The sequence below is a fragment of the Homo sapiens genome, chromosome 1 (genome assembly GCF_000001405.40).
Source record: "Homo sapiens chromosome 1, GRCh38.p14 Primary Assembly".
NCBI classification, from domain to species: Eukaryota; Metazoa; Chordata; class Mammalia; order Primates; family Hominidae; genus Homo; species Homo sapiens.
In genome coordinates, this window is record NC_000001.11 from 65,225,039 (window position 1) to 65,238,917 (window position 13,879).

The 13,879-nt window shown below is 39.6% G+C and overlaps 1 protein-coding gene across 6 annotated transcripts in view; it reads left to right on the forward strand.

Moving 5' to 3' along the window:
• AK4 (adenylate kinase 4) overlaps positions 1 to 7,107 on the forward strand; it is an 84,594-nt gene extending 77,487 nt beyond the window's left edge. For all 6 annotated transcript variants that reach the window (NM_203464.3, XM_017000613.2, NM_001005353.3 and 3 more), the window contains one exon: positions 1,025 to 7,107. In NM_203464.3, coding sequence (NP_982289.1) covers positions 1,025 to 1,139 — 115 coding nt within the window. In that variant the 3' untranslated portion in view covers positions 1,140 to 7,107. The remainder of the gene's footprint in view (positions 1 to 1,024) is intronic.
• Positions 7,108 to 13,879: the final 6,772 nt, after the last annotated feature.

A 13,879-nucleotide genomic window follows, 5' to 3' on the forward strand; every position in this document is an offset into this window, starting at 1 on the left:
ATAAGGTTCAATACTTTTATCCTGAAACTGTTAGAACATAAGGACCCAAACCTGATCATCTCTGTCTGCTTTGGATGTAAAACAACATTGAGATTTATTTTCATTTTCTTAAAAATTTAAGTGACTGAGATAGTGGTCCCACATATGTTGATACTCCCACATATAAATATATGGTTTGGATAGAAGATTAGAAGACACTTGGTGTGTCCCTTCTTGAAGTGTCTGTAAGGAGTTTAACAAAAAAAGGCTAAAACCGTAAACCAGAGATTAAAAATTCAAATGGCTGCAGGGGCTAGGGCAGGTATTGGAAATGAGTCTCAAACATGGTGGGGGATGTGTCAAGCTAGACAGTTGAGTGACAGGTCTTGGGCTGTTCCGGCCAGTTATCATTCTAGGGCACGCAGGCCAATGATTCCCATTTTTCAGGAATAGCAGAAATCTGGTTTTCTGTGTGTATGTGTGTGAGGGGGAATCTCAGTTTTCATATTGGCAACATATTTAAATTTTTTAAATAACATGCAAGTCAAACAAAACTTTATGCTGAGTGCATTCAAAACAGCAGTTTATACTCTGTTACAATCACTTTCTGGCCTTGTAGTCCCCCCCAAAATTTAGCAAACCTTAAGATCAGAGTTTTATGATCATATTATTATGATACATCAATTATGTATTCCATGATTGACTAAGTAATATAGGTTTTAGTAAAGCTTTTCAGTGGTTCGCTTTTGAAAATTATATATTGGGGCACATTTGGAATGGCCCCTATAATGCTATTCTTTGATATGTTTTAAAGGGGGAGAAAAAAGGTGGCATCATGACAAGCATACCAGAATTGCAAAAGCTATGACCTTATTTATGTACACCCAGTGGAGGTGTTGATACCTTTGAAAGGGGCTGTTTTAGCACTTAGTGTGGTATATGATATAGACCATGAGATCATGCTTGTTTTATATCTAGGATCTTCTGCACTAATACGTGGAAAAGAAACCTAAAAAGCCATTGTATGTTGGGCTTTGTTTTTCAGGAGCCGAGGAGTGCTCCACCAATTTTCCGGAACGGAGACGAACAAAATCTGGCCCTACGTTTACACACTTTTCTCAAACAAGATCACACCTATTCAGTCCAAAGAAGCATATTGACCCTGCCCAATGGAAGAACCAGGAAGATGTGGTCATTCATTCAATAGTGTGTGTAGTATTGGTGCTGTGTCCAAATTAGAAGCTAGCTGAGGTAGCTTGCAGCATCTTTTCTAGTTGAAATGGTGAACTGATAGGAAAACAAATGAGTAGAAAGAGTTCATGAAGAGGCCCTCCTCTGCCTTTCAAAAGGCTGGTCACCTACACATGTTTAAGGTGTCTCTGCACATGTCTCAAGCCCATCACAAGAAAGCAAGTACAGTGTGGATTTCAAATGGTGTGTAACTTCAGCTCCAGCTGGTTTTTGACAGCTGTTGCTGTGGTAATATTTTTGACATGTGATGGTGATAGTCTCTGGTTCTCCCCATCCCCACAAAGGCTGTTGAACCACAGCACCAGGAAGCCTGAGAATGAATCCTGAGGGCTCTAGCCCAGGCTTTGTCCCAGGCTTTCTGGTGTGTGCCCTCCTGGTAACAGTGAAATTGAAGCTACTTACTCATAGTGGTTGTTTCTCTGGTCTTGAGTGACTGTGTCCACAGTTCATTTTTTTCCGGTAGGAATAACTCCTTTTCTACATCCACGCTCCATAGAGTCTCTCCTTTTCAGACATCCTGGGATGAAAGAATTTGGCTTTTTTTTTTCTTTTTTTTTTTGGACATCTGTTTTCACTCTTAGGCTTTTAAACAATAGTTATTGCTTTTATCCCTCTCAGATTCTAATAACTGAGAGCGATGGGGCTATATTGAATCTCTGTATGCACTGAGAACTGAGCTATGAAGAGGATCTTATTAAACTGCTGGTCTGACTTTATGGATTGACACTGTTCCTTTCTTTTATTGTGAAAAAAAAAAAAAACCCTGAAAGTCTTGGGAACCCCCTAAAGTCTTTTGGGAATCCTCAAAAAGCATGGGAAGTTAAGTATTTAGCTACATAAATGTTGTAAGATCATATCTTATGTATAGAAGTAATAAGACCATTTGGAATTACTGGACTAATTGAATAGTTAAGGTTTCTATTCGGGACAATAAAATGTATTTTGAAAGTGCTGCTAACTATTGATGCTGACAGTGTTTCACTCCTATGAGTGACCCAAACATATTATAAATATGTGGTAAAGGGAATGGAGCCTGTGGGGTTGAGCAGAATGTTGTACTAGCTGTGCCTGGACTGAGTATAACAGCTTTATGATTATGAGAAAACAAATTCTTTATTTTTTTTTTCTGTTCCAAAGATTCATCCTATGGGGTGGCCATAAAGTCTAGAATTAGATACTAATATTTTGTCATTCATTATAACATATCAATAAACCATTTGTTAAAAGATTTGCCTGGTTTCCAGACTTGGTGGCCACCTTGAATAATTCTTGCTGTCTTCTGGGAAGGATGATGAAATTTATTCCTGCTGCCTTAAAAATATGTATCCCTTCTTCACCCATCATGACTGTCCCCAGTGAGTGTCCTTTACTATTCTTGGGAGTGACTCCTGTCTAACTTTTCATACTGGCGAGAAGAAAAGAAGCCTATTTTAACACTTTAGTGGTGTTGAAACACATTACTTACTTTCTGAAGATGTCCCAGTGAATCCTCTGTCAATTCACTGCCATATGTAATCTATATGATAAGGAATGCATCTTCCTTCTAAGTACTGCCCAAACTCTTGCCAGCTCCTCTCCCATTGTCCCTTCATGTGAATATTTCTTGGCTACCTTAGTGGAAATATAGATCAGTTTTCTCCCCATCCATCCTCTCAAACATAATGAGATTGTTTACTTTTTAGATTTATGCAGTGAAAATGCCCAGTCAGGTCTGAATCGTCAGTGCATTATATTGACTCTGAGCACTTTAGAATTTAGAGTTGCAATTGAATGCCAGCTGTGGAGATGGGGTGCATATCAGATATATAAATAAAGCTCAGGTTTGCTAGGGAACCAGGTATAGAGAAAAATAAGTCTGATATGAGGAAAATTGCACAATTTAGAGTAGTTATGCCGTAGAGAAAATTTCCACAAACTAGGAAATGTAGAGAGTTATTCTATAGAATACTCAAAAGAGGAAAGTATGTGATTTTTGGAAACAGGAAAATCTTCAAACTTCTTTCTTCACTTCCCTTTGTGTTTAGCTGACCCTCCAATGTGATCATTGCCTTTGGAGTTTGGGAGAGGTACGGGAAGTGGCCTGATCCCTGCTTCCATACTTCACTCCTCCATCCATCCTTCCCTCCCTCTTCCCCTCCAGCTAAATGGACAATTCTAGCCAACATTGAGTCACTCAATAAGTCTCAACAGTGGGTGTGTTTGCTGAGATTGTCCAGCGGTTGAGCAGTTTGGTCTCACCTCCCTCGCTAGTTGAGACCAAAAAGAGACAAATAACTTTTTCATGGTCTTTGAAACATAATGCTTATTTCGTGGTCAATGGCTTTAAAAAAATCTGTTTCTTGTTTTCTTCAACAAACTCACTAGTTTTCCCTTAAATGATATTGTAAAAATTAAAGTAATCTTGAAAATGTTTTGACAAAAGTAAAATTAAAGGGACATCTTTTCTTGTTTTGTTTTTTTTTTTTCTATTGCCACACATGACCGTTCCTTCACCTTTAAGCAAAGAGAGTGGTTCAGATGGTTTCTAAGATGCCAACCTGACCTCGCATTCTGTCATTCTACCCAGCTCTTAATTCAATTTGCTTCCATTATCCTAACAGGCTTCTTTCTTACTTAGAACTTGGAAAGGCTGCTGTATTTAATACCCTCCAACACTAACGCAGACTTAAGATAGGTACTGTTTATTGAAAACCTACTGAGTGAAATGTGCGGTTTTAGGACCTTCATAAACATCTCATTTAATCTTTCTAGCATCCTGTGAAACAGCCATGATTTCACGTTGATAAACAAAGAAGACAGGGGTCCCAGGGATGTGAAGCATCTTGCCCAGGCTTCTGCTGCTGGTGACCAGTGTAGCCAGGACTCCAGCCCAGGTTTTCCTGACTCAGAAGACTGAGCTTTTTCCTGGATGTTATTAATAGCTAATTGTGTCCAAGCAACCAAGGGCCTTGAGTCTGCTTGGTTCTGCTTATGGCCTCACATCAAGAAATGGAGCTAGTCCATGTCTGTAGTCCCAATGCTTTGGGAAGCCATGATGGGAAGGTTGTCGGAGGCCAAAAGTTCAAGACCAGGCTGGGCAATATCACAAGACTCCATCTCTACGGAAAAGTAAAAAATTAGCCAGTCATGGTGGTGTACACTTATGGTCCTAGTTACTCAGGAGACTTAGGCAGGAGGATTGCTTGATCCTAGGAATTCGAGGCTGCAGTGAGCTATGATTGCACCTCTGCACCCAAGCCTGGGCGACACAGCGAGACCCTCTCTCTTAAAAAAAAAAAATAGCAGAGCTCACCAAAGTGATGTTCACCTTTTTATGACATTCCTTTTTCTTAGCTTAAGAAAAGAAAGCTGCTAGATGAGAGTCTTAGTTTTCCTGCATAAGACCTCCTTTATGAATAGAATAAAAGACTGTCAAAGTAGGCTGGGCTTGGGCCCAGGCTAATCTATGAAGGAAGCAAGCTCGTGTTCCTTACCTATCCTTTTGGTGTCCATTGGATTGTGCCCCGAAGTGGCCTTTACCCTTGAGCCGTCCCCAGCCATGGTGCTCACACATAGGCTTTTGAGCTCCTTGGAGCTATCCAGATCCTGCTCACTTTTCCTTCCTGAGATCAGAACAAATCACCCCCTTACTCCCACTCCAAACAAGGCCTTGATGATAAACTAATCCTTCCTAAAATGCTGGTAGGTAAACAAGCAATGATGAAGCATTGAACACAGGTTAACTCCTGACTTTTGTACCATTGTCTATTCCATTACACATTAACATGACTCTGAATGCCAGATCCAAACCTTTGCCCACCATCTGCTTGTCGTGCAACAGTTGAGGCAGTAACCAGGGGAGATTCACTTCCTGTCTTGTCCTTCCCCAGGGATCACCCCCCTGCTGCCCTCTAGCAGCCAAACTCAGATGAGTTCCATTGTTACCCTAGGTGTGCCCATCTCTTTGGTAGGGAAGGAGAAAGGTAAGAATAGCCATCAGTGAGGAAGGATTCTTGGAGCGAGGAGCCACTGTGGTTTTTCCTGCTATTTAAGATGTTGAGACCGGATAACTTTAGAAAGATACCTGCACAAACCCATAAATAGTGCTTTTATAAAGTTTAGTTCACCGGAACCTGAGTTCAGTATTTGACATTAGCTTTTTGTCCAAAGAGTTGAAGCCTGCTGGAGGTCTTTGCTCAAATAATAAATACCACATATTTCCAAGTGTGTTCAGGTATAGGCACTAGGTACTGTCTGTTTACTTCATGTTAGGCACATTACATGCATTGGCTAATCAAATCCTCATCAATTACATATGTAATAATCTAAACTTGCCTCCTTGTATTATAAATGGAAATAATCCTGTTTATTTAAACGGGTTTTCATGTACCTGTAGGGATTAGGAAACTCAAATGGCCTTTTTAATACCTTTCCCTAGTTTGAGCTCCCTGTTCTCTTTAACAGATAAAACAACATATTTGCTTCAGCCTGGAATCTGTTTTTGGTGCTTTGGTGCAGAGACAGGAAATGGGCACTCAGAGTCACACTGGTAGTTGCACACTGTATCTACAGAGGGCGTGTCTCATCTGTACTCTGCTGGGTTACAGGATTTCAGTAGGTATTTGTGTCCACCTGAGAATTCTGTTTATTACCTTTCATTTGACAGTGTCTTTCCTTTCTGCAGTTGATTTTGCTAGAGAGGCAATTCATAAGGTGAGGTCCTGTTCATAGTATGACTTGCTTTCTCAATATCTCCTTCAATTTTTAGTAACTCTTGGTCTATTTGGTGTCTTTAAAAAAAATAACCTAGTAATAAAGACTTCTTTTAATGTGGAAATGTGGTCTGGTAGTAAGTTATTTCTTTCCACATGTAACTGACCCAATCTGGTTTCCAAATGAGAAGTGTGCAGGCCCCAGAGGTTGAGAAGCCATATTTCAACTGTGAAAAAAATCTGCTTCCTGCATCTGTTGAAATATAGTTGTTCATACTTGCCATCCCTTATCTTTCTTGTAACAATTTGCACAGTTCTTGCCAGAATAAATGCCATTATCTGTATGTTTCAGGGAGTTCCCCAATTTGATCATTTTTGTGTGTGTGTGGTGTGTGTGTGAGAGAGAGAGATACTGCAGTAAAACATTTCTAAAGGATGAAAGCTCTTGTATGGCATAGATATGAATTCCTTCCTCTGGTAATAATTAGGTTATTCCCAGAAGCACAGTGTCATTCTTTAAATAAAAGCTTTCCTGTTTAAAGCTTTTCAAAGGAGCAGACCACCTTGAAGATTCCCCCTAGGGTTGATATGTGTCTAATTCATTTTATAAAAATTATTCTTGTCTTCATTTTAAAGCTTTGGCTATATAGTCAGAAATGTCCTAAATAACAAACTATTTTGTATTTAATTTAGGGAAGACTAAAGGGAAGAAAAATGAAAACTCAGTCTTTATGTAAGCTCCAAGGATATTAGGGCTTAAAGGGCTTTTCTAGTTTTATGAGAATTTGTACTACTGATTTTTATATATTCCTGTTTTTGAGATGAACAGATCTCTGGGGAAATTGTTGAGTTACAATGGCATTTCACTGTGATCCCTCTCAAGCTCAGATCAGTTCTATAACCCAATGACAACCTGTCTCTTTGGTTTACTGTCCTGTGAAATGTCAGCTCAAGTTTCCCAGAAGTCGTGTGTTTATGATGAGTCAGAGTGCTTTTCCTCGGTGGGACAGTTGCTGGCCCTCTTAATTTTGGTGTATGTGCTTCCAAGTATCTAAACCTCCAGTCTGATCTGTATATGCTATCCTAACTGTTAATTGTATTATTGATTATGTTGATTATCTTGCTTGAAGGTTCATACTTTTCAATTTGATAGAAATAAAGTTTTTTTCTGCTTATAGCTAGCGAATTCATTTGTTTGTATAGCTTTTTATACTTGATAATATAAAGTTTCACAAATACTTTCATTGATGCGTCTCTGCAACCACTACATTACCAACAATGTTGTCTCCAATTTGCAGAAAAGCAAGATCTTGAACCAAGAATTATTATCCCCAGTCCTGTTTTCTTTTCTGCTACACCATATTGCCTTATTCGTATACCCTTAAATTCCTTATTTGTCCAGCACTTTATTGTTTACAATTTTAATGTACATTCTTTGTTTTTTTCCCCCTAACCACTAGACAACCAGGGATTTTTCTTTTTCTTGAAATAGATAATGTGAGCAGATTCTCTCCCTGTTTTACACATTAGGAAACTGGATCAGATTATATGACTCTTAAGGTTGTAGCATCTGGGATTACTCAGCAGAAGCAGAAACTATAGCAGGCCTATCACATGGGAGCTAGAACCACAAAGAAAATAGAGCTGCTGTAGGAGAAGCTCCCTGAGATAGTGAGGGATGGGGAAAAATACTCTGGCATTTCCCAGCCTCACACTCTCCTGTCTCTGGGGCGGCTTCCCTTAGCTGAACCCAGCCAGAAGCCAGCTGACATAGGAGCCTGAGAAACATGTTCTAAAGGCTTGTCCATGCCGCTGAAAAGGCAGAGGAAAGGGGAACTGAAGAGGATGGAATGTAGTAGATTGTATTAAATTTAATGACATCCGTCCAGTCCCCTCCTTTTTTTTTTTTTTTTTTTTTGGAGACAGGGTCTTGCTTTGTCACCCAGGCTGGAGTGCAGTGATGCAATCATGGCTCACTGTGCACCCTCAACCTCCTGGGTTCATGTGATCCTCCTGCCTCAGCCTCGTTAGTAGCTGAGACTACAGGTGCATGCCACAATGGGCTAATTTTTTTTTTTCTGATTTTTTTTTTTGTAGAGACAGGGTCTCACTAAGTTGCCCAGGCTGGTCTCAAACTCCTGGGCTCAAGCAGTCCTTCCACCTTGGCCTCCCAAAGTGCTTGGATTACAGGAGTGAGCCACTGTGCCTGGCCACTTTCCCTTCTTTTGGGAGGATTTTACAACTTGGCCCCATTGGCTTCATGCTTGGACATATGGTTTGCTTTGACCAGTGAAATGTGGGCAGAAATGACGTGTGCCACTTCTGAGCAGAAGTTTTAGGAGCTAGGGCATGGTCACCATTCTTTTCCTTTGCAGTGAGACTGGCGACCTCACAGAGCTCTTTCAACCTGGATCCTAAAGTGAAGACGTGGACCAGAGATGTAGCCAATCCATCATAGATGAGTAGTGTGCATTAAAAATAAACCTTTGCTTTATAAGCCACTGAGATTTGGATAGAGTTTATTTTCACAGCATAACTTAGCCCAAGCTGACTGATAAAACCGGGCCTAAGACTAATATATCTTGTTATCCAGTTATAACTTTAATTCTTTTATTATGCATTTTTACTCTCTCGGGATGCAAAGATGAATCAGACCCAGTTTTTGCCCGAGACTTCTTCACAATGTACTGGAGGAGATGGCCATATTATTAGATTGCTCTATACATGACTGTTGGAGTTGATCACTGCGCTATAAAGGAAACAACAGAAGTAGTAACTCTCTTGGCTGGCCAAGTAGAGCCCATGGAAGAGCTAATATTTGAGCTGAGTGTTGCATGCAAAAGGGAACCCAAGCAGATGAAATGGTAGGCACAAGAAAGTCTGAGCATGCATGGCAGGTGGAGGCCACAGCAGTGTGAGGCAGGACCGGGGAGATAAAGATAAGATTGAATTCTACTGGGAAGGGCCTGGCCTTCATTTGGTTGGTAGTAGGCAGTATATTACCAGAAAATGACACCATCAGATTTGCATGATAACGTTGTAGCTGTACCAGGGTCTGAACTAAGATGTGGTAGCAGAGTTCAACAAAAAAGGATGGTTGGATAATAGCAGAAGAGAAAAACTTAAATGACTCTAGGGAACAAAAATGAGTGAAATAGTGGTGAATGTGAGGCAGGGAGTGGCAGGGCTGTGAGGACTGGAGGGCACTGCCCTATCAGAGGGGAGCCATTGCTCAGTTCTGGACAGTTGTTTCCATCTTAGGGATGGTGGCTCAATGCTGCCACCATCATTCAATTTGTCAAAAGAAGCCAAAAATTTGTGTTGCATGTGAAGTTTTATTTTTAAATATTTGCAGTTTTAATTTTAAAAAATTAGGGGAGGGCTTTCCAGCCTTAACAACAACAAAATGGAGAGTTATCGAGAATTCTGTTTTTATAAGAGAGCACTACCCATTTAAATCACTTGAGTTTCTCCCCTGCTCCGTAATTCAACTGATGTGATGTTTTCCCATATTAATTTCAGCCAGTGAATATGTGTAAGTATATCCAGTGATTCTCTCTCTCTCTCTCTCTCTCTCTCTACCAGAGGGACCACAATCAAGGCACCTTTTGCCTTGCTCAGGACCACAAGGAGTTGGAGACAGGGAGCTCTACTATTTGAAAGTGACTAGGAGCTAAGCAGTGCTGAGTCTTTCCTGTGGCCAGTTTTTCTCCTGCCAGGATCCTGGGGTCAGTCCCTTTAAAAAGTCTAGAAGGCCTCCCATGAAGAAATTATGTCTCATACCCCATTAGTAGTTGACACTTTGCATCCCTGCCAATCTAGTGCCATATAACCTGAGAGAGGGATGCCATTTCCTGACAAGGAGGACTCAGAAATACAAAAATGAATAGTCCATAACTAGATCAGTCAGGACAGACCAGCCACTCTCTTCAAAGTAGTGGCTCACATACACTGACCCCTCCAGATCCACTGACTATGTCAACCATCCTGGGGGCACTGACCATCTCAGACAGGCTACTCTGGACATATTGAACACCATGACATCCTGACTATTCTGGGTACATTGATCATATACACCCACCACAATATGAAAGACTTCTATTAGTCCAACAGGGTCAAGGAGAAGGGAGGCAGACTAAAATTGCTTAGAGACCTGGGTGAACCATCTTTTATATTTTATCTTTGTTAAAAAAACTTTGTTATGTTTCCTCAGTATAAAGATAATTTAAAAGAGGTGAATTATTTAGGATACACATGAAAGTCTTACCTAAAAATTTATAGATATTGTATTTATAAGTTGAGGCTAGATAGTAAGGATTCTTAGAAGATAATGACAGATGCCTAGATCTGAATCTTTCTACACATCTTCAAAAAACCATACAGGCTGGGCATGGTGGCTCACTCCTGTAATCCCAGCACTTTGGGAGGCTGAGACAGGAGTATTGCTTGTGCCCGGTAGTTCCAGGCTGCAGTGAGCCAAGATCATGCTGCTGCACTCCAGCCTGGGCAGCAGAGCAAGACCCTGTCATTCATAAATAAATAAATACATATATACACACACACATACATACATACATACAGCTCAACAAGGACAGCAAATAAAATTACAACTCATATCTACTACATATTAGGAAATTTAATAGAAACTCTCATTTTATTTAAGAGGGTAAATCATAGTCCCAGCTATTAAGCTCAGGTAGAAAGAAGAGAAAAACAGGAATTATTTGAGAAAAACATAATGCAGTCGGATCCCAGAGAGTCTCACACTAAGTGGAGAAATACTAAGAATAGCCACACTGCATTACAGCACTTGCTACTGGGGAATTGAAGGGGCTTGAAAGTGCATGGGCCCAAACATTTAAGTCTTCAGAGGGTACTGCTTCTGGGAGAGAAAAGAGGAACTAAGTAAGAAAAGGTATCTCTTGGAAATTTGGTGATGAAGAGGGAAGAAAAAGTTGGAAATTAAGAATCCTACAGAAAGAAGAGTTTCATAAAAATGATGACATATTAAACTCCCCCTAACACTCTCCACTCCATGCAGAGAAGAAAAAAAAAAAAAAAGAGAAAAGAGAAAAATGCTGTTCATTAAGGAAATTGCATTTTACTGTATCTACTGAAGAGGGCACTCTTGAGCTAAGAAACCTAGTAAACTACTCAAATCCTTCAGCCTCATTTGCAGAAACACCTGGCCCAAGAAAATCCAACAGTTTTGAAAATGAACAGAAAATCCAGCAGTCTTGAAAATGAACATCCAAAATTATTTTTTAAAGAAAAGAAAATGAGAATCAAAATTCTTCAGCTGATGAAAATATTCAAGACCCAACTTCAAGGCGGAGAAAACCACAGCACGACACTTCAACATAAATCAAATAGTATCAATGACATGTAGAAAACACACAAAACAGAAACTCACAAATGCAAAATAGAAGTGGGTACAAAACGAGGATTTGTGAAACAAGAGTTGACTGAGTACAGAAAAGAAAATGAAGGAACACACTAATCCTAAAAATTAGAGCTAAATTATAAGGTATGCAAGAAGGTGCAAATTCAAAAAAGTACACAAAGGACACATGAAAAATTGGAATGAAAATTTCCAAGAGAATTGAAACAAAATGAAAAGCCCCAAAAGAAAAGAATAGCTATAGAAGACAAAGAAGATCTAACACACCTATAATTGAATTTTCTAAAGAAGAAAAAGCAGTGAATTGAGACTAAGATTCAAAGCTATGATCCAATAAAGCTTACCAAAAGATTAAGTTGAAAAATCCTGAATCTATTTACTGAAAGGATGCTTTGTGTGAAAATTAACCCCAAGTGGTCAAGTGTAAGATATTTTCTTGTATGCCCGGGAAAATACCTCTAAACCTCCAAGCAAAAAGACCACGTGATTCAATACACAGATCAAAACAACAATGGAGCAGTGCTCTCAAGGACAGAAAGTGTGAACCATGGATTTTTATATCCAGTTAAGCTGATCTTCAGTTATCAAGATTGATAAATAGTTTTAAAATGCAAATTCAAGTTATATTTTCTTCTCTCTTTCCTTTCTTCCTTTCCTTTCTTTTCTTTTCTTCCTTCCTTTCTTTTCTTTGTCTCATATTGTCCTCCAGGCTGGAGTGCAGTGGCGTGATCATAGCTCACTACAGCCTCAAATTCCTGGGCCCAAGTGCCTCAGCCTCCAGAGTAGCTGGGACTGTAGGTGTGTGGCACCATACCTGGCTAATTTTTAATTTTAATTTTAATTTTTAATTTTTTGGAGAGATGGGATCTCACTATGTTGCCCAGGCTGGTCTTGAACTCCTGGCCTCAAGCAATCCTTCCACCTTGACATCTCAAAGTATTGGGATTACAAGAATGAGCCACCATGCCTGTATATTTTAATATTCCTTACTAGGAATCTTTTTTTTCTTTTCTTATGAGACGGAGTCTCACTCTGTTGCCCAGGCTGGAGTGCAATGGCATGATCTCAGTTCACTGCAACCTCCACCTCCTGGGTTCAAGAGATTCTCCTGCCTCAGTCTCCTGAGTAGCTGGGACTACAGGTGCACGGCACCACACCCAGCTAATTTTGTATTTCTTTTTAGTAGAGATGGGGTTTCACCATGTTAGCCAGGCTGGTCTTGAGCTTCTGACCTCAAGTGATCCGCCCACCTCGGCTTCCCAAAGTGCTGGGATTACAGGCATGAGCCACTGTGCCTGGCCCTTATTAGGAATCTGTTAACACTAGATAACAAGCCTCATTAAACCAAGAGATAACTGGAGAAAATACAGCAGGTAACTGTGGTGAACATGTCCTTTATTTAATTGAAGAGACTAAAATGAAGGCAGAGACAAAGGCGTGAGGATAATATGTAAATGTTCTATGTCCAAAAGTAGAAATAACAGAACTAAAGTAATAAAAATATAGAAGAACAGAGGGAGACAGAGGAGAGCAGAATAAGCTACTTGATTGCCATATATGTAATAGGTAGAAACTGGAGGGTATCTATATTAGTCCATTGTCACACTGTTAATAAAGACATACTTGGGACTGGGTAATTTATAAAGGGAAGAGGTTTAATTGACTCGCAGTTCAGCATGGCTGGGGAGGCCTTAGAACACTTACAATAATGACAGAAGGGGATGCAAACATGTTCTTCTTCACATGGCGGTAGTAAGAAGTGCCCAGCAAAAATGGGGAAAAGCCCCCTATAAAACCATCAGATCACACGAGAACTCACTATCAAGAGAACAGCATGAGGGTAACCGCCCCGGTGATTAAATTATCTTCCACAGGGTCCTTCCCATGACACGTGGGGATTATGGGAACTGTAAGATGAGATTTGGGTGGGAACACAGCCAAACCATATCAGTATCATTTAAAGTTGACAAACCAACTAGTAGAAAACTAAGTAAAGAAAAAGTTGTGGCAGCATTATATAGCATATTAATAGCAAATAAAAACTTTTCTAAATACCAAAATAAATTGAAAAAGGACAAAGAGAAAAGAATACATAAATGTGGTAAATTTAATGCTTAAAATAAATACAAAATAATATGATGAGCTAAGACCAAACACGTCAGCCCTATCCATAAATGTAAATGGGTTTAGTCATTTACTTTAAAAAAAAGCTTTCTCAGAGAAGCTCACAAAACAAAATCCAAGTCTATGGTATACAATGGGCATATCTAAAAATTATTCTGAAAGAGCATGTACAAAGAAAATGCAAACAGTAAGAAAACAGAAGTTGTGATTGTGATATAAAAGAAACTAGAATTCAGACCCAAAAGTGCCAAATGAGATAAAGCAGCACACTTCACACAATTCACACAATCCACACTGAAGATATACTAGATATGAAATGCACCAAATAATACAAAAATCTGTCCAGAAAAATCTGGGCAAACCCAGAAGTATATAGACTTTTTTTTTTTTTTTTAACAAATGTATGCATTATATTTATCTAGATACAGAAATT